The sequence below is a fragment of the Homo sapiens genome, chromosome 1 (genome assembly GCF_000001405.40).
Source record: "Homo sapiens chromosome 1, GRCh38.p14 Primary Assembly".
In the NCBI taxonomy this organism is placed as follows: domain Eukaryota; kingdom Metazoa; phylum Chordata; class Mammalia; order Primates; family Hominidae; genus Homo; species Homo sapiens.
The window spans coordinates 153,412,999-153,438,031 of record NC_000001.11 but is presented as its reverse complement, the minus strand read 5'-3'; the positions used below and the strand labels follow the sequence as shown (position 1 = coordinate 153,438,031).

The 25,033-nt window shown below is 46.7% G+C and overlaps 2 protein-coding genes and 1 pseudogene across 2 annotated transcripts in view, besides 1 other annotated feature; 2 read left to right on the top strand and 1 right to left on the bottom strand.

Annotated features, from left to right (window-relative positions):
• Positions 2,620–3,149: a transcriptional cis regulatory region, noted in NCBI's record as "candidate enhancer chr1.8681 targeted for multiplex CRISPR interference". NCBI's record gives its function as "positively regulates PGLYRP4 gene expression with high confidence in K562 cells {active_cell/tissue: K562}" and the evidence as "EXISTENCE:mutant phenotype evidence [ECO:0000015][PMID:30612741]".
• S100A7P1 (S100 calcium binding protein A7 pseudogene 1) lies at positions 9,631–11,024 on the top strand (annotated as a pseudogene).
• Positions 14,810–21,512, bottom strand: S100A7A (S100 calcium binding protein A7A). The gene is made up of 3 exons (NM_176823.4): positions 21,469–21,512; positions 19,809–19,966; positions 14,810–18,887 (listed from the first exon to the last, which is right to left on the bottom strand). The coding sequence occupies exons 2-3, from the start codon at positions 19,947–19,949 to the stop codon at positions 18,723–18,725; spliced, it is 306 nt and encodes a 101-aa protein (NP_789793.1). The 5' UTR covers positions 19,950–19,966; positions 21,469–21,512; the 3' UTR covers positions 14,810–18,722.
• S100A8 (S100 calcium binding protein A8) overlaps positions 15,449–25,033 on the top strand; it is a 32,552-nt gene continuing 22,967 nt past the window's right edge. Inside the window, exon 1 of the mRNA NM_001319198.2 lies at positions 15,449–15,514. Coding sequence (NP_001306127.1) covers positions 15,513–15,514 — 2 coding nt within the window. The 5' untranslated portion in view covers positions 15,449–15,512. The remainder of the gene's footprint in view (positions 15,515–25,033) is intronic.

Below are 25,033 nucleotides of genomic sequence, written 5' to 3'. Positions count from 1 at the left end.
TGGTATGCCTCACTGATCCATCTGTCCCAGCCTTAGGCAGGACCAGCCCCGTGGAGAGACTAACCATTCAAGAGATGGAGACTGGAACTGAGAATCAGACATGCTGGGCTCCTGTCCTGCCACTGGGCCCCCTGCCACGTTACCTGGAGAGGTTACACACACGCTCTGGCCATTTGTTTCTTCTGCCCAACGTAACCTTGTCCCTCTGTGAGAGTCACTCCTCTAGGTTCAAGTGGAGGCTTGTCAAGATGGAACTCAATGGAAATCAGAATATTGATAACATGAGCACCACCCTTTATATTTGGCAGAGCTTATTCATATACTGGGTTTTATTTCACTGTTAGAATGCATCACTCTTATTAGTAAAATATAACAAGAGAGAATAGAGCACTGGGTCCTAAAGAAAGGGAACCTGGCACTTAACAGTTTGAATGGGAAAGAAATGGAATGGGAGAAGAGTCAACATGTAAGAGAAGGAAGGCGGTCAGCCTGTGCTGGGCCCCTGGGGAGAAAGGAGACAGCGCCTGTACAGGTGGGTAGGTGGGTGGGTCTGTGGGTCTGTGGCCAATGAAGGCCCCTCACTCCTTACCAGTGTGGTTCCTGGCGGAGCCTGACACCAATCTCTGTGTTTTCCTCATGGAGTCACTCAATGGAGAACTCCTCAGGAACAACCCAGCAATGCTGCTCTCTCTCTTCCACCCACTCCTGTCCCACTTACCCACTTGTCATGTTCACACCACAGGATACCTCTTTCCTCTTTTTCCAATTCAAATATCATTTTTCTTTCTTGCGTGTTTCTCTCCATGCAGGAAAAAAGCGACATGGATTACTTGTCCAATGCCCTTGAGAAAAAAGATGATAATAAGGATAAGAAGGTTAATTATTCTGAGTTTCTTTCCTTGCTGGGGGATATAACCATAGACCACCACAAGATAATGCATGGAGTGGCACCCTGTTCCGGGGGAAGCCAGTGATCCCACCCTACCCAGGGGCCTCTGGAGACCCCCATGGACAATAAAGCATCTACTCCCACAAGATACTTCCTCCTTTTCCTTGGCCGTGTGTATCTTAGACAGAACAGGAAGTTGTTGGTTAACTGCTTTGTAGATGCTCCACTAGGTACAGAAATGCTCCCCAGCAAATGTCTGCTTCCAGAGTGCTCCCCACAGTGTCCTGAATCCTGATTTGGTCACTCTTCTTTTTTGGTTGTTGGGCTTTGAGATTCACCTGTGCTCACACACCTGGGAGGACGCATCCTACCTACCTAGCTTGGTGAGCCTAGATCAGGGTGTAAACTGGAACCCTTGCCTGGGGCCTTGCCAGAGGCCAGATAGGCACTTGCTCTCTGCACCACTCTCATGAGTAGAAAGGAGCAGCAGTGAGCACTAGACCCCTGTCCTCTGGCCTGACCCCTGCAGCTCTGGCCTTGCTCCTGTGTCTGCTTGTTGGGATCAGTGTGAGTGGATATTGTTGTCTTTCTAAGAAATGTGGTTTGCTGAATGCCAGCATCCAGCTGGGCACTGGGGATGCAAAGGCAAGACAGTCAGTTTTGGGCCAGTGGGGGAATCCTTCCAAAACACATGAAACTGGCTACAAGTCCAGCTGATTCAGGTCCATGCTTTTGGGGTGGTCGTTGTTGGATAAGGAGCATCAGATGAAGGGCAGGGAGGAGACAGTGATGCTTATCTCTGAGCCTTGTACTCTGCCAGACAATGAAGATGCAGAAATAAAAATGATGCAATGGCTGTTCCTCCCCACAAGATGCCCATCTTCTTGTGGCCTCTCCACTGGGTGTTGCTAATTCTTCCCAGTTTTAAGCCCTTCAAACCCTTTGGGCCAGGCAGTAGGATCAGCATTCATTTTAATCACCAGGGCCATGTTCAGACCATTTCCCCAATTTCCCTATTATTCCTTACACCTCTGTAAATTCCTCCATCTTTGAGCCTCATGTCATAGGATTATCCTCCTTCTTTTTTTTTTTTTTGGAGTCTCCCTCTGTCACCCAGGCTGGAGTGCAGTGGCTCAACCTTAGCTCGCTGCAACCTCCATCTCCCTGGTTCAAGCGATTCTCATGCTTCAGCCTCCCAAGTAGTTGGGATTACAGGTGTGAGCCACCACGTCCAGCTAAGTTTTGTATTTTGAGTAGAGGCGGGGTTTCATCATGTTGGCCAGGCTGGTCTTGAACTCCTGGCCTCAAGTGATCTGCCACCTTGACCTCCCAAAGTGCTGGGATTACAGGCATGAGCCACTGCGCCCAGCCTATCCTCCTTTTTTTTTTTTTTTTTTTGAGACAGTGTCTTGCTCTGTGTCCCAGGATAGAATGCAGTGGTGCCATCATAGATCATTGCAGCCTCAACTTCCTGAGCTCAAGAGATCCTCTTGGCTCAGCCTTCCTAATAGCTAGGACTAGAGGTGCAGGACACTACATCTGGCTATTTTTAAAATTTTTCATTTTTATAGAGATGGGTCTTGCTAGATTGCCCAGGCTGGTCTCAAACTCCTGGCTTTAAGCAATCCTGCCTCAGCCTCCCAAAGTGCTGGGATTACAGACGAGAACCACCATGCCTGGCCCCCTCCATTAAAAAATTTTTTTAAGTAGATGAGGTCTTTCTCTGTCACCCAGACTGGAATGCAGTGGTGTGATCACAGCTCACTGTGGACTCGATCCTCTGGCCTCATCCTTCCAAGTAACTGGGACCACAGGGCGCGCGACCTTGCCTGGCTTATCCTCCTTTCTTATCGGATTCTTGCATTCTCCTCACTCGTGATATTGCCCCACCACCAGATAATACTTGGCTGACATCACCCTTTCTATTTTACCAGGAGAACTTATTTGGGGTAAGTTCACAGTAAGATTTCCTAGAAGTAGAGACTAAGATGGGGATTCCCCTGCAAGTGATATGGTTTATCAGGGAGTGCTGTCAGGGGAAACCTGGGAGGACATGGGGGTGACAGCATGGACGGGGAAAAAGCTCATTGGAGACAGGAGCTCAGCTTCAGTCTAGCTTTGTTCTCATCCCACAGGGAGCTCTGCAGCCTGAATGGAGTTACCCCACCTGGAGGCAAAGAGGCCCACCTTGTGTATTCCTGCACCATTTGTCACTGGCTATAGGCCACCCCCAGGGAGAGGCAGAGCCTTTTAGGCATTTCCGGGCTGGGAGCTCCATTGGATCAGGGGCTGCTCTTAGGAGAAGGGTGCAGTCGTGCCCTATTAGTGGCCAACATTAACAGAAGCTGGAGACGGGCACACGGATCAGGTAACAGGGATGAGGGTGGGCATCACAGTATCTACTGCAGTCCACACCTTATGCCCACTCAGATCTATTTGCTTCTCACATCAGGTTCATTCCATCCAGCGATTGCTTCTCCAGTTCTAGCTGGTTTTGATTTCTGGGTAATTTTACAAAAGAAGGGTTGGGGGCTACTACAGGCTGTCCTGCTGCGGTTGTTTTAGAGGTCACAACTGATGCACATCCTCTCCCCCCTCTATGATTTATTATAGATTTCCCTCCTGGTGGCTGGCACCTCTGCTGGTCTAGGTGGCTTACCTGGTGGGGCGGCGCAGACTCTCATCACTGAGGGCTGCATGCTGCTGGTTCCTATGCCCTTATCAGACCTCGGTTGCTGTACTTACCCATTTACTGTTAAAACTATATGTAGGGATAATAATTGATACCCCAGGGGATCACCCGAGTCCCAGAAGTATGCTCCCTACCCCATTATGTAGGAGCAGTCCCACATGGTGATCAGAATCAATTACCCTTCCTGTGAAGTTACACCTTTTTGGGGGCAACTGGGGTCCTGGCACGAGGAGCCTAACTGATCAAGCAGAGGAATTGGCCATAGGCACCTTAGATGAAGGTGAAGAAATCGCTGTTATATGCATTTGCTGTGATATTACAAGGTCTCTCTGTGGGGACCAGGCTTCTCTTTCTAATGATGGGTTCGGGGTCTGAGAACTGGCTCAGGTGTGGAGACCTGACAAAGGATAATACTTTTCTATCTGGTGACTGATCTAAGCCTTCTGCTTTCATTCTTGGTTTCTTTTTATTGATCATATTAAGCTGTACCCTGTTGGCTGTTTTAGAGTTGGAGGGAGCACAGTCCACAAGACAGCCCTCACTGCTGACACCAATTACAAGCTCAGGGGTCTCTAGCAGTACCCTGTGTTTTGATAATTTTCCAGAAGAACTTGCAGCACTCACTGAAAGTGGTTATACTCATAGTTGTGGTTGATTATAGGGAGAAGATACAGACTATAATATGTAAGAAAGAGACACATGGGGCAGAGTCCAGGAAAGCTCCAAGCAGGAGCATCCGGTCATCCTCTCCCTGTGCAGTCATGGGCAGTGCTGCTCCTGGCAACAGCTTGTGGCTTTGCCAACCAGGGAACCTTATCTGAGCTTTGGTGACCAGAGTTTTTATGAGGACCGTTTGGTGCACTGCCTGTGTGACTGACCTCAGTCTCCAGCCCTCCAGAAGTTGAGCTGATAAGACATGACTCAAAGCCTCCACCATCAATCACATTGTTAGGCTTTCTGGAGTGGTTCTAATTTCCAGGAAAACAAGGACACGCTTCTTGGGGATGATATTTCCAGGGCTTAGACATGACCTCCAGAATCCCAGGGCAGAGGCCAGGCCTCTGTGTGGGCAAGGCTGAATTCCTTCTGACACAGATGCCTGTATATCTTGTTCCTATCAGCACCATGCTCTTTAGCCAACTCCGTAGATCCCTGCGGGACACACTCCCCTGCGGCCAGCCTAATCTTGCTGCCTGGTATGTTGTGAGGCCACCTTGCTTCTAATGGTTAAGTTCTGTCACCTGCCTCTACTGCTGTAGGATCCAGTCACTCTCATTTAAGCCAGGGTACTTAGTTCAGTATCAGCATCTCCAATGGCCAACCCCTGCCTTCAAAGGACGCAGGAGGAACCAGGAGAGTATGTCTCAGAAGGGATCCTGGAGGGTGCTGAATCAAGGAGAGTGCATTATAATGGTGGTGGGGGAGTGTGTTGCTGATATGGGAGCACTCCTTCATGACACAGGATTTCATACGATTTTATGGATGAAGAAAGAGAGGCCTGAGGTGTGCCCGCTGCTGGCCACATGGTTTGTTAGGAGCAAGTTGCCTGATTCTCATTTCGATGCACCTGTCACCCCCTTGTTGGACTTTCTCTTGCTAGTTTTAATTTGCTGCCCCACCTGACCTGGCTCCAATTAACCCCATCGGCCCTAAGTCTCTCAAAACTGCCATCTCCGGAAGCCATTATCATCAGCAAACTAACACAGGAACAGAAACCCAAGCACTGCACGTTCTCACTTATAAGTGGAAGCTGAACAATGAGAACACATGGACACAGGGAGGGGAACAACACACACTGGGACCTGTCACTTTGGCGGGGGGAGGAAGAGCATCAGGATACATAGTTAATGCAAGTGGGGCTTAATACCTAGGTGATGGGTTGATAGGTGCAGCAAACCACCATGGTACATGTTTACCTATGTAACTAACAAACCTGCACATCCTATGCAAGTATCCCGGAACTTAAAAAAAACCATAAAATTAAATTAAAAAAGAAAAGAAAATCACTATTGTTTACAAAAAAAAACCCAACAAAAACAAAACTGCCATCTCCTTATATTTATATATTACCATTGTCCCCATTATCTCTTGTGAACCTCAGGAGAATTCTGTGCAATGAGTTCTTTTCATCCTTCAGTAGATGAGACAACTCTACAGAAGGAGGTAAGGGCCTCACCCGCAGCCACCCAGACAAGAATTCAGTGCTCCTAACTCCTGGGCTGTTGCCTGAGCCCCAGTTGCTTCATTTCATCACGTGTTCTTCCAAGGGGGCCCCTATGGCACACTGTGCAAACCACCGTCTTAGACAGACTGCCTGCAGGGATCAGGCTGGAACCAACCCCACTAGTTGGGCAAGCATTTGTACTTATGCCTCAGGTAAGGTCTCAGCTCTCCATACTAACTGAAGGGAGCCACACCTGGATAGGTAGCACTAGAGAGGCTGGCTAATCCTCAGATCTGTCTTCTGCACACACAGTTTCATTCTGGGACCCTCAGGTGATGGTAGAAAACTCGGCATTTCTGAGACAAGCAACGAGGTTCTGCCCTTTCTGCTCAAGATGAAACCATCTTCCAAGTACCCCCTCCTGCACCTGCCCTGGGGAAAGGTAGTGCAAATAATACCTCATTATGCTGCTTTCTTGAATATAGACAGAATAATAATAATAGTAAGTATATTTAGCAAATACCACTTGTTGATTACCCTCTCAAGTCCTTCACATATATTAACTCGTTTAATTTTCACAACAACCTAGGAGGAATCTACTATCTTTGTCACCACTTTTACTGATGAGGACACTGACACACAGAGATAATAAGTTGTATGGCAGCCTGTGTCTGGAACCCGTGCTTTTAACCGGAAGGCTTTGGAGGTGATTTGGGACTACAGCCTCACCTCCATCCCTTCCCTAAGCTCCTGTGCTTTTTTACAGTTTGACATCTCTGACTCCTGAAAATATCTTGGAATAAACACATTTGAAAACTCTGCAGAAAGAGGGCCTGGCTGGAGGAGGGTGGATGGGAAGCTGTGCAGAGGATACAGTTCCAAGGCACCAGTGCAGATGTATTCAGTGCCAACGTGTGTGTGTGTGTGTGCACAGATGCACGTGTTTGTGTGTGTGCATGTGTGCACAGATGCACGTGTTCATGTGTGTGTGCGCGCAGATGCACGTGTTTGTGTGTGTGCATGTGTGCACAGATGCACGTGTTCGTGTGTGTGTGTGCGCAGATGCACGTGTTTGTGTGTGTGTGCACAGATGCAGGTGTTCATGTGTGTGTGCGCAGATGCACGTGTTCTTGTGTGTGCATGTGTGCAGGTGCACGTGTGTGTGTTTGTGTGTGCAGATGCACGTGTGTGTGTGCGTGTGCACAGATGCATGTGTGTGTGCGTGTGCACACACATGTGATGAGGGACAATCGAGAGAATAGCAGAGCCAGGGAGTCCTGATGTCAGGAAGGCCACTGGTGCTCCTGACAGACCCTGGGAGCATGAGGAGCACTGTAGGGGGAATATGAAGGGCTCCATGAACAGGCCCTATTCAAAGGAGACATGAGAAGCAGCCTTGAGGAGCACCAGCGTACCTGAGTGGATGTCCACTGACTAATCCGGGCTCCCCTCTCCCAGTGGGGAATAATTTGCATTACATACTAGGCCAATGGTAAGCCCAGTGAGTTGGCAGGACTTGTCCCTGCCCCTGAGGTTTCTGTGGCGGATGGACCATGGCTGTCTTGGTGTGTCCAGGAACCTGGTGGGGCTCTGAGATCATGCAGCAAGAGTGCTCATTGGAGACAGAGTTCTGTGACATGGTCCCATGTTTGCCCCTCCCCAGCTCTGTGACTTTGTGCAAGCCACCTGCCAGTGACCCTTTTTCCTTCAGCTGTAAGATGAGATAAAAATCTCAGTTGTCTTCCTGGGTGCCCTGGGAGGATCAGCAAGACATCTCAAATAAAAGTGGCTTTCCTTAGAAAGCACAGGGTCTTAGTCAGCAGCTTTCCCTTCTGGAGTGACCTGGAGGCCACTGTGGCCAGCAGGAGTGTGCTCTGGGGAACACAGAGGCTTCCTGCCTGCCATCTGGGGCCTAGAGCTCACAGAACAGCCTGGACAAAGGTCCCTGGGCCATGTCCAGGTCAGAGCCCTGGTTCCTCTACTGTGCACTGCACTGGACAGTGGCTCCTGCGGGGCAGGGTAACTCCATGCTCAGCCAAGACTGACAGCACAGACCCTGGATTTCCACAGATGGCTAGAAGCTGGGCTTCGGAGTCAGTAGGACTTGGGTTCAAATCCTGGCTTTGCCACTTTCTAAGGGTGTACTCTTGGCAAATCTAGCTAAACTCTCTGTTCACGTCTGTAAACTGAGATAATAATACCCATCACACAGGATTCTCCTGATAATTAAATGAGACCATGCATGCAAAGCTCTTAGCAGACTGCCTGGCATGTGGTAACCTGTCACAAATGACAGCTGCGTTTACATTACTGACAGGTAATGAAAGCTCCTCAAATGATTCATTGGATACATAATCAGGGACTCTGATTCCACCTGCAAATCCCCAAATGCCCTATGTCCTGGGGGCACAGCAGCACTCTCACATTCCCTCTGTCATCACCCACCGTTCCAGCCCCATAGGACTTAGAAAGGCAAGAGGACTCTGCTGGGGCCTCGCTGGGCAGGCACAACTGAGTCCCAGGGCAGTGTCGGCTGAGTTCCCACCCGGACCAGCATCCTGTTGAGGCAGCTGATGGAATAAGCCCCAGGCACCCAGTCCTGGTCCCAGCCTAAATCTGAGCACCATCAAAGGCACTGCTCTCCATCTGACACCCTTCTCCCATTTACCCTCCTCTAGGCCTTCTCTGCAGGGTCTGGTGAGTCCCCGTGTGCCCTTGTGCTTCTATGTTTAAGGCACAATGCTCCATCCTGCTTGCTGCCTATTTATGTCAGGAGGAAGGCCCTGGGCTGGGAGTCAGGATGCCTGGGTTCAAGTTACAGCTTGTCCCTGACTGGCCTGTGCAACCTGCAGGGAAGTCATTCATCCTCTCCCTCCAGGCCTCAGCATCTTCTTTTGGGCAGTGAGGGGCTGGACTAGATAATCTATATCCTTTCTGTTCTGACTTTTGGTGGTCTTGTGACACCAAGGAGCTTCACAGAAGAGCTACTGCAGAGAATGTCTCTGTAGACCCATGAGGCCAGAGCCAAGTCCAGGATTCCCAGCACCGCCTCTACCTGCTGCAGTCCTTCTTTCTACTGAGTGGTTTGTTCATTTCGCAGCTTCCTGGGCTCAGGTCTCTTCAAGATGCTCTGAGGCACTGGAGAGGTCCAGAGTGAATCCTTCATGTTTGTACTGTTCCCTTAATTCCCCCTTGCTCCCAGCCCTGGGCCCAGGGTTGGGAGCACAGGGACGGTACAAATGTGCAGGGATTGGCAGAGCCCTCCAGTGCCCCCTGGAGCATCGTAAGAGGACTTGAGCCCAGAGGTCCAGGAGACACATGGAGTGGGGTCGCTCAGGCCTCCCCTGGGCTGTTGATTGCTGACCTGTCAGTAGCTCCACACAGACGGGGCACCACCTGGGTTCTTTATATTTTATCTGAGATCCCAGAGCTCTGGGAAAGCGAGGGGGTGATCGTGCCTTTCTTCATGTCAGTGTTTTGCTGGAAGGTCTCACTGCTGATTTCAGCAGTAATAGATCCCTAGGCGGACTCCTACTTTCCCCAGCACCTTAAATTCAGGATCCCTCAGACGCTACCACCTCATTCTTCCACTCCTGCAGCCGACCCCCTCCTCCCTCTGCCCACACATCCCACCCTGGGTCTTACAATTTCCATGACTTCCCCTCCCTCTCCTCAAACATTTATTCCCTCCTCTGGATTTCACCTGGACTGAAGGATTATCAGATTCCTTTTGCTCCTTCTCAGGGCTGCCTCTCACCTTCCCTGCAGCACCGGCCCTCACTCCATTCCCTGCCTATCCTGTCTCCTCTCATCCCTGTTCCCCACAGTCTTAGACGTTGGAAAGCAAGCCAGGCGACCGGCGCCCTTTCCTGCAGCTTACTGGACATGGGAGCTGAGGAGCAGCTGAAGGGCTTGCTCAACCTATGTCACAAATACACCCGAGATTCAGATGCCATGGGCAGATCTGGATGTCCAACGTCATGCATTTCCCCCACCTTCCTATCAGCCTTGTGAGCAGGGACCCAGCGGCTGGGTGGGAGTGGGGCAGGAGTGCACGGCACCCATGGCCCTGACTGGCCTGAGAACCAGCACATGGAGAGGCACCGATGTGGCAGGCTGGCGAGCATCTCACACCTCCCCCCAGCCACCTGCACCTCTACTCCTGAATGGAAGGTGGGCAGTAGACAGAGTCCAGGATGGGGTGAGAAGAACCGATTTCCTGCACAGCCCCTGCTGTTTACTTATTTCATTGTTACAAATACGTAAACACCAACTCAGGGAGTGTTAGTTACCTTAGATGTAAAAATGGGGACAATGTCACTTATTTCCTGGGATTGTTATGAACATTTAAATGAGGTAAAACATGTGCGATGTTTTGTAAGATGGGAAGAGGGATAGTGGTGTTAACGATTGTTATTAGACAGTCAGCAGGCTATGTGACTTGTGGGTCGAGAGAAGGTCTCCTGGCTTAAAGTATCTCTCTTCTGTCTGTAAAAAAATTTCCCCCTTTAGATTCAACTCTGGGTTCGTCTGCTCCTTCTGGAAGCTTCTTTTCATGTACCCCTGGGAGCAGTAGTGACACCACAGAATCATAATGCCAAGTGAAATGAGGCAGCCCTAAAACCCTGGAGAGTTTTTGATTTCCACTCACTATAACATCTAACTTCACCATTAAACCATTAGCACCCACTGACCTCACTGGCACAAATAATGCAACAGATTGAATCACAGAGAGTGAGCTCCGACAAGGAGGGGATTCAGAATTGGTGTATTTTGATGGGATGATGAGGAGTGGAGGGAATTTTGAGACTGGAGTCCAAAGGGTGTTTGCCCATGTAGAATGAATATCAGGCATTCCAAGGGGCACAGACAGACCTGGCCTCAGAATTTTTGGATCTGCTATGCATGCTCTCATTTGAACCAAGAGTCACCAATTAAAACGCCAGGGTTAGGGCTCCCCATCCCATCCATTACGGCTGTCCCAACCCCACCCTCCTAAAACCCCCACCTCACCCGCTACATATTTCCCCTTAGCTTCTGCCATCTCCTTCTCACAATCCCAGTCCAGCCCCAGGTTATAACCTTCCTTTTGTTTGATATCTTCTCCCCACAGGAAAAAAAAAAAGAGCCCAGATTTCTTGGAAAAGTTGTTTAAGAAGGACAAGAATCATGAGGAGAAGATCAATTTTTCTGAGTTTGTCTCCAGTGTTGCTGCAGTTGCTAAGGAATTACACCATCAGTCCCATGGCCAGAAGCCCTGTTCTAAAGGTTATGGATGACCCAGCCCCATCTCAGCCCAGCCCAGCCCATGGGCTGTCCACCCAGGCCCTGGCTCAGCAGACACCAAGAGCCAGTAAACTGGTCCCCTGCTCTGGTTGCTGGGTTCTTTTCCTTTTTCTCTTTAAATATGCATGTTGGCAACACAGTTGATTCTTGATTAGCTACTTCGTTCTTTCTTTCTTTTTTTTTCTTTTTTTTTCTTTTTTTGAGACAGAGTCTTGTTCTGTTGCCCAGGCTGGAATGCAGTGGTGTGATCTTGGCTCATTGTAACCCCTGCCTCTTGGGTTCAGGTGATTCTCCTACCTCAGCCTCTCAAGTAGCTGGGATTACAGGTGGCTGCGACCATGCCTGGCTAATTTTTGCATTTTTAGGAGAGACAATGTTTTGCCATGTTGTCCAGGCTGGTCTCCAGCTGATCTGCCTGGATCCTGACTTCAAGGAATGTGCCCACCTCGGTCCCCCAAAGAGCTGGGATTACAGACGTGAGCCACATTTTGTTCTTTTTTATGTGGTTATCCCCATCTTTTATAGGTTTGGACATACACACACAAACACACACAGGCACACAATTTTTGTGGTTACCTTTGAAATTTTAACTTGCAATATATACTAGACTAGAGTTAATCAATATCTCTATTCTCCTCCTAAACAATGTAAATAATTCACTTTAAATTCAGAGACTCCCATTCTGGCTTGTATGCTATTATTTTTTCAGCCTTTTAACTCTCCTTAAAAATTATGTCCCTTATTTCGGAATGATTATTATTATTTGAGACAGGGTCATGCTCTGTTGCTGAGGCTGGAGTGCAGCAGGCTGAGGGTCATGGCTCACTGCAGCCTCGACCTTCTTAGCTCAAGTAATCCTTCTGATTCAGCCTCTTATGTAACTGGGATTCCAGGCACATGCCACCATGCCTGGCTAATTTTTTATTTTTTGTAGAGATGGAGGTCTCACTATGTTGCCCTGGTTAGTCTCAAGCTGCTGGGCTGAAGGGATCCTCTACCTTGGCCTCCCAAAGTGCTAGGATTAGAGGTGTGAACCACTGTGCAGGGCCAGGAATTATTATTTTTGATTTAACAAATATTTAATTAGGATTACCCACTTGATCCACCCGCCTCAGTCTCCCAAAGTGCTGGGATTACAGGCGTGAGACACTGCACTCAGCCAAGATTTTTAAATGTGCAGCTTCACTCTCAATTTCTTCTTTTTCTCCTTTCATTTTGATGTTGTTGTTGTAGAAACTGGGTCATTTGTCCTGTAGAATTTCCTACAGTGTGGAGTTCCTGATTGCATCCATGTGGTGTCAATGAACAGATTACTCAGCCTCTCTCTTCCCTTTGTAACTCGGTAGATCTAGAGCCTTAAGCATCTTCAGGGTTCAGGTTTTTTAAAGCAGATTGCTTCAAATGTGGGGTTGTCTACTATCAAGAGTACATGTCTGGGTGTCTTTTTCTTCTGTATCAGCTATGAATGATCATTGCCAACACTGGGTAAATCCAACTCTGTCTACACTTCTGCAGATAAACAAGTCTGGAGAAAAATGTGCTTACCTTGTTGACTGGTCACACTTCAAATTCATGACCACTAATCCAACTGCACATTCAATACAAATAAGAGAGTATTTGCATACTTCAATTACCCCATCTACCCTCTTATCAGAATCAGTGGCCATACACTCTGCCTTCCCCCCACTACTATGAACTTTTTATGTTCCCAGCAGATGTCTATCCATCCTCTTTCACTACATCCCATCCTCCTTGCTTTTTTCAAACACCCTCTACAGAAATTCTCCTCTTTTTCTTATGCACCATCATTTTTTTTCTGTTTTCTGGTCTTTTCATTCTATACAAATACACTGTTATTTGTCTGACCTTAAATAATTATTTTGACTTCACTCTCCTCTGCAATCTTCTCAATTCTCTGCTTCCATTTACAGTATTTAAAAAATTTTTATGGATGTCTAATATTGTTACATACTTATGGGGTACATGGGTGACATTTTGTTACATGCACAGAATGTATAATGATCAAGTCATGGTATTTAGGGCATCAATCACCTCAAGTATTTATCATTTCTATGTGGTGAGAACATATGAAATCTTCTCTTCTAGCTATTTTGAAATATACAATACACTCTTGTTAACTATAGTTGCCCTATTCTGCCATAAAACATTAGATCTTATTCCTTCTATATAGCTAGATGTTTCTATTTGTTTAGCCAATCTCCCTTCACCCCACCCACTCACCTTTCCCAGCCTCTAGTAACCATCATTCTCCCTACCTCCATGAGACCAACTTTTTTTTTTTTTAGCTCCCACAGATGAGTGAAAACATGTGATATTTATCTTTCTGTGCCTGGCTTATCATCTCTCGGTTTGTTTACATCTTCTATTGTCTTCTCTTATTTCCATTTCCTATTTTTATCTTCTCTGTTGGTGTACTTGGCTTTTTTGAATGCTGAACATTAAAAATGAATTTTTTTTATTTCAGGATATGGATGATTTTCTCTCCCTCTAGAGAATTTTCTTTAGCTTCTGGAAAGGAATTCAAGTAGCAGATCATTTAAATCCAATCTAGGATAAAGTTGATTCAAAACTAAATTTTAGGATTTATATTTCTGATCCATATACTTATTCCTAGGAGTAGCACTTTAGGTGTTCTAACTGAAATCCTGGAATGTTTAGAAGGGTACCTCTACCTTGGAAATCCTCTGAGCTTTGATGTTTATCTCCTAAAGGCTCTTACTAGCTATTTAGGTTTTTAACAAAGATTTTCTGATGGTCTGTACCTCTTGTCCTGTGCAACTTGTGAAAAGACGCATGCCTCAAAGGGAGAAAATTAGAGTAATCAACTCACCATTTGTTGCTTCTCTTTTATCTAAATTCTTGGCTTTTCAAGTTCTGGCTGTGTTGGAAGTCCTCAACACTGATTTTAATCTCACCAGCCCTGAATGACTATTAAAGTCGCAAATAATCTTCTTTGTCTCTTAGAAGTTACTTTCTGTTTGGTTTTTAACTTCTTTGTACAAACTACTTGAGAAATGATAAATTCCTCAGGAAGAGAAGCAGCTTTAATTTTGAGTGCATTGATCGAGTCTTCTTTCTCTTGGATAACCAGAGCCTTCAAGTCCTGGTTACTTGGTAGCTTTTTGATGCTTTGAAGCAGAAAATTTTCTGATTTTCATCCACGTTTTCTATGTTTTGTTAGGATAATTAGTCTGCTATGAAAGTATTCCATAACCAGAAGCAGACATATTGGCAGTAATGCTGAGCTATAGGAACTCTTGGTACTGTTGGTAAGAAAACAATAGTCAAGCCAAGAGCACATAGAGTCTGTGTCCCAGGTAGTCTACTTTTTGGAATATATATATATATATTCCAAAAAATATTCACACAGATACATAAGGAAATATATATAATGATGTTCCCCATAGTATTGTTTGTGGTGTTAAGGAGTGGGAGGCAATATGAGGTTAGGGAAGGTATTCGTGGAGAAGTGGGTAGACAAATACTGTGGCAGCAGATTATGAAGTAAATGTAGCTCGGATGTAATAATGCTAACTGTGCATAGAGCAATGTGGATATGAGTTGGAGTTCCACTTTAAATTTCTTTAAAGTTACGTTGTTGCATTGCCTGAAATAAAGGCTCTCATGCTCTTCTATGTAATTCCCAAAGAAGTTGATTGGCTCATATTAACTGCTTTAATTTACTTCAAAACATGGTAAAGAATAATAAAAGATAAAAAATATTTAAATAGAAAAATAAACCAAGGAAACCAAAGACTCTACTAGAAATTGAGTTTTAATATGAAATTGAAAATAATGGTAAATAAATGATGCTCCTAGTGAGAGGCAGTAATTCTTTAATCCAATAATATTAAGGCCAAAGAAAGGAGAGCACTGAAGCTTATCTGGTGCTGGTCAGAACTCTTGTAAAATGCAAGTTACAAAAACAATAAGATATTATCTCACACTTAGTTAAAAAAAAGTATATATATAAAATCTGTGATGAATCAACCCATTTCCTGGGCAAGAATACCAAAGAAACTACCTCGCAGATTTATAAGGGAACATGTATGAGTATGCTCTCATGGTGTTTTTATAGTGGCAGGGAACCAGAAACAATCTGGTTGTTTATCAAACACATGGTCTTTTATGATTTTCTGCTTCTTTTCACATTGTTCCCTTTGCCCTCTTTTCTTCCTGGAAAGTTGAGATCACTCTTCAGGAGCCTACTGAAAAACCACCTGCATGTGGGGGAACATAAGAGATTCCTGTAGAGAAGGCTGAATAAATGTCAGTCAGAAGAAAGCAAAGAGAGACAGGAGTGACGTCACAGTGAATTCAGCACCACGGACAGCTCACAGCACTCCAGCCCGGGCGACAGAGTGAGACTGCGCCTGAAAAAAAAAAGTTATTGGAATGTTTTGATATCAGAATTTCTGGGGAACATTTGGATTTCCAGAATCTCTTTCACATCAGCTGTAATGTGAGTGTGGGCATAGAGCTGTCAAGTATTCTTTCTCTTTAGTACCAATATAATGTCCAGTAGCTATTAATTATTCCAAATCAAGTAAATTCTTGCTCTAGTATGTGTTAGAACAAAGGTTGAATTCTGATCAATATGACACTAATACCTGTGCCCTTAGGCCTTGCTCTAAAATGTCCTCCTTCCAATGCAGAATGACACATTGCCCCACCCTATTCCTTGACACTCTTTCGAAGGAATATTGGATGAAATCAAATCAATTTTCTATCTGGTGACTGGAGCTCTGGGCTGTGGTTGCGGAGATGGTCTGGTCCCCTCTCCTCTTCATATCCATCTGCTTCTGTTCTATAAGCCACCTTGGTGAGTTTGGAATGACACAGTTCTCTTGACGACCTGCCATAGCAAATCAGCAATATCTCAGGATTTGGGATCTTAACTAGGAACTGTATGCCACACATGTGTCCCTGCCCTGTGATCACCTCTCTGGGATGACATGGGTGTGTAAACAGAATATCCGAATAGATGTGATGAGTCCTGCATTGACATAAGCATGGAGAGTGTGAAATAGTCTCAGGAACATTAGACAAGGCTCCCTTGAGAAGGTGATTTCTAAAACCTAGACAAGAAGATGAAGAAGTATTTGTCCACACACTCCATCCTAATTTTTATGTGCCATTGCCAATTGGACGGAATATTATCAGGTGAAATAAGAACTGGAAAAATAAAGGGAGGGCAGGCCCACATTAGGAGTGGCCAATTGCCTTCTGGACTGTAGCGATGGATTGAAGGTCCAGCAACCCCACCCCAGGGAGACCCTCTCTTCTTTTGGGAGATCAGTACGTGAGTCCTGAGGGAACTGTTCAGTCATTTGCCTTATCCTTTCTGGCCTGCTTCCAGACTCTGGGGTCCAGATTCTGGGGTCCTCCCCTAAGCTGCACAACCTGCCTCCAGGACTGGAAGTTTTTGGATTTTACACTGCTGTTTACATAAAGTAGTATTGACTAGAATTTGCACAAATACATTTTATATTGAAAAATGATATAGAGTACTTATTATGAGCTGGAATCCAGTACTACTATGTGCTGGGTAACCAGGAGATCCGAGGTAACAATGTTTTCCCTCCATGATTCCAAGTCTGGCTGGAAAGACATTAGGGGAATCTGAAGTAATGTAGCCACTATGGTAAGAGTGGGGTCATGGTGAGGGAGGCACAAATGAAGCAGAGATCATTTCTTTGGGGTGAAGGGATGGTGGTTCACCCTCTGAATGTCTAAGAGACACTGACATTAAAGCTCAGCCTTGAAATGTAATGTTAATGAGACAGAAGAAGTATTAAAAGACATTTCTGGTAGAGGCAGTAGTTTAAAAGATTGGTATTGAGACATGAAATACTGAGATATATTGATGGGGGGTATGTTGCGCATTCGGGGAATAACAGCAGCAAGGTGAATAGGAGGGATTCAGAGAGTGCTGCACAGAGAGGAAGTCAGGCACCCACACTTTTGGGACCCTGGCATGACGGTTCTAAGCAGTGACCAGCAGTCCCGGTGGAGGAGAGAGGAGGACAACAGGGGAAGATGGTTCTGGGCTGGAGATCTGCAGGGAAGGTATGGCCCAAGGAAAGTGGGCAACAGAGCTAAGAGAGGAAAGAGAGCAATTCTGGGGTGGATGATGGAGGGCAGGCTGCATAGAGAAGGCAGCAGGGGGCTGGGAGGAGAAAATGAAAGCCCAGGGACTGTAGGTCTCCGTGAGTTCCAAGAACAGGTGGAATGAGAATGAGAAAGGGAGAGAAGGAAAGAGAAGAAAACTAATGGTCAGACATGGGGATTTAGAGGTGAAAATGGCAGATCAGTCCTGAAGGCTGACGAGGTGCAGAATATGTTCAGGAAGGAATGTTCCTGATAAGGAGAGGAGATGCTGGTCTGTGAATAGAGGTGTGAGTGTGGAGTGGAGCAGTCATTCCAAAGAACAAATAGCCCATCTTACACACTGCTGCTGGTAGGATGGAAAGAGAATTTTTGAGATGTTTGCCTGATTCCTCCAAGAAGAATGTTTGCCTGATTGAGAGGTTAGCTGGAGACTGACCAGAGTAGTAAGAGTGATAGGGACACATGATGTGAGCCTCAAGGAAGAATACTAAGAGCGGCTGCACAGAACATTGCCTGGAAGTGACACCAGGTGAACACTGACCCTGTGTTGTGGCCTGCATGGAGAGACCCGCCAGTGCACTGCTAGGACAGCACTGTGTCCTGCCTGTTTCTGCATCCTCAGCCCATAACACACTGCCTGGCCTGGAGTAGACTACCAATAACAAACTACTCCATTACCTGCGAGATAGAGGTGCTGCAATTTCTCATCACAGTCAGCATGAGCTCTCTGTGTCAGTCCTTACAGAATTTCCGTGATGCTGCCTTATTCCAGCCAGACTGCTTACTTGGACTCCTGGACCACTTAGAGCTCCTCAAAATCTGGAATATTCATTCATCACCAGAAACCCAGTCCTGGCATTGAGCAAACCATCATTTAGGACAGCTAAGCATCACAGTGACTCCTTCTCACTTCCACAGGGTCACCCACATAGGCACATGCACACAAGCACACAGCACAGGGAAAGGACACTGCCCCTGGAGCAGAGGCCACAGGACAAGGAAGCCCATCCTCAGGGCACTGCTGAGCCTCCCATTCATAGCCCCAAGGGCGCTGAACCTGAAGCCATCCAGGAATCCCTATGTGAGTGGTTTCTGTTTCCCCAAGCCCTGGAGAACAGCTGGGGCAGGAGTGGGAGGGCAGGAGCACACTGAGAGATGCCAGCTCCTTCTCAGTGCAGTATCTGAATGTGTCTGAATGACCCTGGTCCATGCCTTGACAAGGAGAGCATTGCTGTGACCTGGCAGGGGCCTTCTACCAACTTCCACCTGGAACCTGCCAAGGTGGCTGCATTTAGGGAACGGTGCAGAGGCAGACACCAGGACCTGTGTGAGAGGCAGATCAGCTCTGCTGGAGGCCATAGGGGGAACGTTGCTGGAGGGACATTACTCCTGGGTGACCCACTGGATGGGGGTGGGGGAAATTCTCCAACAAAGTTAACCTGGAATTGGTAGTTTTGACAATGTAGGTCACCAAAGAGAAGAAGAAATAAGGCAAGTGTCTGGTGGGAGGAGACACTTATTGTTCCTGGGGTCTCTGGAGGCCCCTTGGTGGGGCTGGATCACTGGCTTCCCCCAGAACAGGGCGCCGCTCCATGGCTCTGCTTGTGGTAGTCTGCGGCTATGTCTCCCAGCAAGGACAGAAACTCAGAAAAATCAATCTTCTTATCCTCATTCTTGTCCTTTTTCTCAAAGACAGTGGCGAGGTAATGTATGCCCTTTTTGTCCTGTGAAGAGAAAAACATACAAAATAGAAAAATTCAATCACAAACAAGTTTTGGGCTGGGAGGGGAGAGGAGGAGGCAGAGATACAGACAAGTACCTAGATCTGCACAGGCATGGTCGTGGGGCTGAGAGCACAGGGTGAGTGGGTGAAGTTGGGGTGAGGACGTGAGTGTTATCCCTGGAGTTCTCTAAGGAGACTTTTTGTCTCACACCTCAGGATGGGAGGCAGGTCCTGTCCCGAGGCACTCTGTTAAGTGACCTTGGGGAGAGCAGTCCCCTGCCCCAGCCTCAATCTTGCCTGTTCCCAGCATTTAAGGGCACTGCCTACCTTAGTTCTACCCCAGGGCCTCAAAATTGGCCCTCATGCTTTGTTCTCTTCTTTCTCTGACCTCCTCTCCTTTCTTCTCCTTTTCCACCAAACTCATCTTCTGGGTTCCCTACTCTTGGTCATCTAGACCCTTTGGTACCTAGTAGCCCACAGGTTTTTTCAGATTTGCCAATGAGTTTTCTTTATTGCAAAGAGGGCTATTGATTTCTACTAGCAATGGAACTTCTAGTGCTTTCCCAGTAATCTCAGGGATGTTGATGTGGGGCCTTTGGGAAGCAGGACCTGAGCATGTGAGTTTCAGTCTCACAGAGAGAGGGTCAGTGAGCGCTGGGAGGGGACTGTGCACTGTCCTCAAGCTGCACACTTTGCTGACCATCTAATAACCTCCTTTATATCTGTATAACTCTTTCCCATTTTCATACTTTTTCGCCTACCATCCTTAGATTCACATATGATCCAAGCAATAAAGCCCTATTTGCAAATGGGAAACTTTTTAATCAGAGGATGAGGGTGACCTGTCCAAGGCCACATAGCAAAATGTATCCTCAGCCATGCCAGGGTCCAACCAACATTGAGAAGCTAGACCCCAACTCACACAGGCACTGAGGAAATTGGGGAAGTTCTCCTTCATCATCGTCAGCAGGCTTGGCTTCTCAATCTTGCCATCACGTCCGGTGTATTTGTGAAACATGTCGATCATGCCTATTATGGACCTCTCAGCTTGAGTGTTGCTCATCTTTGCTTTCAAAAAGCCTTCAGGAAATAAAGACAATCATTTCTTACCTTAGTTTGAATTAAGGTCTCTATGTGGGGGTGTTAGAAGGAGGGCTGAGGACAGAGTAAAAACAGCCCTAAGATGGAGCAGAAGGAACTTGATTTTTTTAAATGTGATGGGATAAGTTGTTCAAAAATGAGAGGGTAGGACCAAGTCTGAGACCCGGCCCATCCTGGCCAGGGCCAAGAAGAGATGCAGGTGGATGGCAGAAGTCCAGCTGTGGACAGTGCTTCAGAGAAGGAGAAGCAGGGAGAGTCGGAGGCCAGCAACACATAGAAGAACTAAGCTGGGACCCCCCAGCCTCAACCAGCACATGGCGGACCCCACTCTTGAAACAGCACCAAATCCATCTCCTCCAGCTTCACAGTCGGGGTGAGAGTCACGGGGGCAGGACAATGGCCTTGGTGATCTGGTGTCTGACCCTCCTCGGCTGCTTCAGGAACCAGACACCGTGGGCCCCACCTTGACTCAAGTGCAAGCCCTGCATGACACAGTGCGTGCAGGCTCCAGGTGCACATGTGAGCGTGGACATGAGTGTGAGCAGGAAACACAGCCCTCTCCCGAGGACAGGGGGCCCTTCCTACATTCCCTTGGGAATGAGAAACAAGAATTGCCTCTGTTACAAGGAACAGAAATAACTCCCTGGTTCTTAAGCTGCTGGATGGGGTGGGAGTGAGGTGGGAGTCGCTTCATGTCTGCTCTTGGGAAATATCTGCACCCTCTGAATCACCAAGGGTTGACCCTGTTTAAATAAAAATGTCTGACTTTCCAAAGCAGATCTTCCAGCCAGTAGCCAGCCTGGGCTGCCCTGCACCCCAAGCCTGAAAAATAAGACAGTGCAGCTCTCATTTCTACACTTTCCAAAGAACCAGAAAAGGACCTTGGCTAACGCATGTGGGCATCTGACAATAAACCCCCAACACCTCTCAACGCAGGAGAAAGCTCCGTGCCAGCAACTGACTAAGAGAAGCCACTCAAAGCTTTCTGAATCTGAGGCCAAGGCCAAGGCCAGAGGCCAAGCCCTGTGCCCAGAGATTGACTGAGAATTTACAGGTCCAAGGCCTGGGGGTTTGGAGAGCCTCCAAAGCATTCACAGGGGATCCTTATCCCTCCTCCCTCTGTGGGGGCAGAGCTGGGGAGGGGATTCAGCAACTGGGATCCCAAAAGGAGAATGAATCCAGGGAGGAAGAAGACAGGAAGGAAAGGGAGGGTCCTGTGCTCAGGTCCCACTGGGGACATTTCCACAGGAGTTGTCTCAGGAGATCCCAAAGGAGCAATGGACAGGTCTGGTTCAGCCACCTGGTTGTACAGACGTGGGCTTTTGGGGTCAAGTGAAGGTCACACAGCCCAGCTAATGGCAGAGCTGGCCTAGACCCAGGCTTCTGAGACTTTGTCCACAGCCCTTTCCCTTCCTACAGGCAGCATGGCAGGCTGGGCACTGGGCACTTCTAGAAAATGCAAAGAGGCAGGTGAGACTTACCAGAACTGGGAAGTGTCACGAGTAGAAGGATGAGTGAGATGTGTGTGTTTGGACAAAGAGCAGTCCTTTATAAGGCTCAGCCTGGCTCTTCCCACGGGTTGGGAGGCCTGGGGCCACCTCTGTCATCTGTTTCTTGGAGGCTTGTCCCATATCAGGTGTGTGGGACACACCCAGGAGGCTGTGCTCAGGATTTCTGGCCAGGGTCCCAGGTCACCAGGTCCCACCCCACCCCAGAGACCTCACCTGGGGCCTTCTCTGGCTCAATCTTGATTTGAGGGTAAGGCAGCGGTACATGTGTAGTAACAGGTCAGGAAATGGGAGAAAAGAGCACTGGGCCTCTGGACCCAAAGAGAATGGAGTTTCAGACTCCCAAAGGCAGCATGGTCTTGTTTATTCCCTCCCCCAGTACTTCCACACATTTGTTGTGACAGCCTGTTCTATGACCCCCACCGCTTACTGAGCGTTTTAATGTCTAGACATCAAGACACCTGCTGCTCTTGCATCCTCCTCAACCCTCCCCTCATAGTCTTAAGAAGCAGGTGCTGCAATCTCTATTTTAGGAAAGGAGAAGTTGAGATGTTCCCAAGTTTACTCAGCTAGTAAACACAACAAATCATCACACGAACAAAGAAAAGCCTGAATCAAATCCTTACTCTTATCCCCTGTGCTATAGGTCTTGGGTTGCATCAGGGTCTGCCCTATGGGAACTCAAAGTCCAGGGAGGGAAGCAGGATTACTTCATTGCTAACCATTGGTCAGCCCCTCACAGAAGCCCTGGATTTAGGTGGGGGGACTGGGGTCAGGGGCCTCACTATCTAGGTTGAGTGGTGGAGTGACCCCCGCCCCCCCCGCCCCATGGAATGAGCCTGGAGGTAGGGAGTGGGAAAAGTTCTTTCCTGCCCCATGGCACTAACTTCCCAGAAAGTCTTCAGTGTTTTTCCTCCTCCTATGCAAAACAGCCTGTGTAGGAGTTGGGAGTTGTGCCCTTGGCTATAATGTGCCCTAACCTGCTGTGGAAAGCCTGAACCAGGTAGGGGCAAGAGGGTTGGGAAGGCACAGGAGTCCCTGGGGCATGGTGAGGAAAAGGAGATGATGAATCACTGAAATGGACTTTTTCTGCTACCCCCTTACAATGTTCCTTGTAGGCCGCAAGAGGTCCTGGTTCATTTAGTGCCAGCCCTTTAAGCACTCTGGGGCTCCATAGAGCTGATGTGATGTCTCCCTAGGTGGGACCTATTTTCTCCACCCATCATCTTTCTTCAACTTCCTTCTCTGTCAGTTCTTATGTAACCAGGGGGACCTGTTTCTCCCTCTCCCAGTTTCCCATATGACGGCAATATTACTTTTAGCGGCAAAAGATACACACACACACACACACGCACACACACACAAACACACACACAAACGCACACATACACACACACACAGACGAATACTACTCAACCATAAAAAGAATGAAATGATGACTTTTGCAGCAACATGGATGGAACTGGAGGCTATTATCTTAAGTGAAATTACTCAGAAAAAGAAAGTCAAACACTGTGCACCCTCATGTGTAAGTGGGAGGTACATCATGCATACAGATGGAGGTAGAGAGAGAGTAGAATCATAGACACTGGAGACAGTGAAGAGCAGGAGGTCAGGTGGTGGGTGAAGGAGGAGACATTTCTTAGTGGGTACAATGCGTGTTATTTAGGATGGCTGCATTAAAAGCCCGGACTTCACCACTGTGCAATGTGTTCATATACATGTGTATGCAGGTTTTTGTGTGGACATAAGCTTTCAGTTCTTTTGGGTAAATCCCGAAGAGTGTGATTTCTGGATCCTATGGTAAGAGTATGTTTAGTTTTTTAAGAAAGCACCAAACTGTCTTCCCAAGTGGCTGTACTATTTTGTGTTCCTGCCATCAATGAATGAGAGTTCCTGTTGCTCCACATCCTTCTTTAGCATTTGGTGCTGTCAGTGTTCCAGATTTTGGGCATTCTCATAAGTGTGTACTGGTATCTCATTGTTGTTTTAATTTGCATTTCCTTGAGGACATATGATGTGGAGCATCAGCTGATATGCTTATTTGTCACCTTCTGTATCTTCTTTGATGAGATGTCTGTTAAGGTCTTTGGCCCATTTTCTAATTGTTTGGTTTGTGTTCTTATCTCTGAGTTTTAAGAGTTCTTTGTACGTTTTGGATAACATACAAAGTCTGATATGTCTTTTGTAAATATTTTCTCCCAGTCTGTGGCTTATCTTTTCATTCTCTTGACAATATCTTTCACAAAGCAGAAATGTTAAATTTTAAAGAAGTCCAGCTTATGAATTATTTCTTTCATGGATTGTGCCTTGGTGTTGCATCTAAAAAGTCATCACCAAAACCAAGATGATCAAATTTCCTCTTATGCTACCATCTAGGAGTTTTGTAATATTATGTTTTGCATGTAGGTCTATGATTCATTTTGAGTTACATATCATCACTGTTTATAAAAAAAAGGAACAGAAGAAATGCAATACAAAAGGAATCAGGGACAACAATATTAATACAAGACAACAAAGAATTCTAAGAAAAGGGATTAAATGAAAAAGAAGAATATTTCCTATTGATTAGTGTGCAAGTCACCAAGATGCAATAGTCTTATCTTTTTTTTCTTTCTTGTTTTTTCTTTTTTATGAGACACACTTTTGCTCTTGCAGCCCAGGTTAGAGTGCAGTGGTGTCATCTTGGCTCGCTGCAATCTCCTCCTCCTAGGTTCAAGCGATTCTCCTGCCTCGGCCTTCTGAGTAGCTGGGATTATAGGCGCCTGCCACTATATCCAGCTAATTTTTGTATTTTTAATAGAAATGGGGTTTCATCATGTTGGCCGGGCTGGTCTCGAACTCCTGACCTCAAGCGATCCACTCATCTCGGCCTCCCAAAGTGCTGGGATTACAGTTGTGAGCCACTGCACCTGGCAATAGTCTTATCCTTATATACACAAGAACATAATATTGAATTATACAAAGCAAACATTGAAATAAATTAATGAAAACTGACAAATTTATATCACTTGGCAGTTTCTGGCAGAGTCTGCCCAGGAACTCAACAGAGTCGTCAGATAACAAAACACCAGTAATGGTGCAGAGCAGGGCGGGCAGATGCTGCCACAGCCCAGAAGCAGCCCTGGACATAAGGGCCCCGTGGATGAAGACAGCTGTTTCTAGTAAACACTAATCTCCAGAATTGGTTGGCCAGCTGGATTTGGCTTTAAGACCATAATTTGCTGATTCCTGATACAAAATATTTGAAGGACACACTTAAATTTATTTATATACACGTGCATTCATAAATTTGTGCCTGACCATAGAGAATACATATAAATTTCTTTTTTTGTATTGAGGTTCTTTATTAAATTAATTATATAATCTGTATTAGATAATTAACGTTTTTACAAAAATTATTATTATACTTTCAGTTCTAGGGTACATGTGCACAGCGTGCAGTCTTGTTACATATGTATACATGTGCCATGTTGGTGTGCTGCACCCATTAACTCGTCATTTACATTAGGTATATCTCCTAATGCTATCTCTCCCC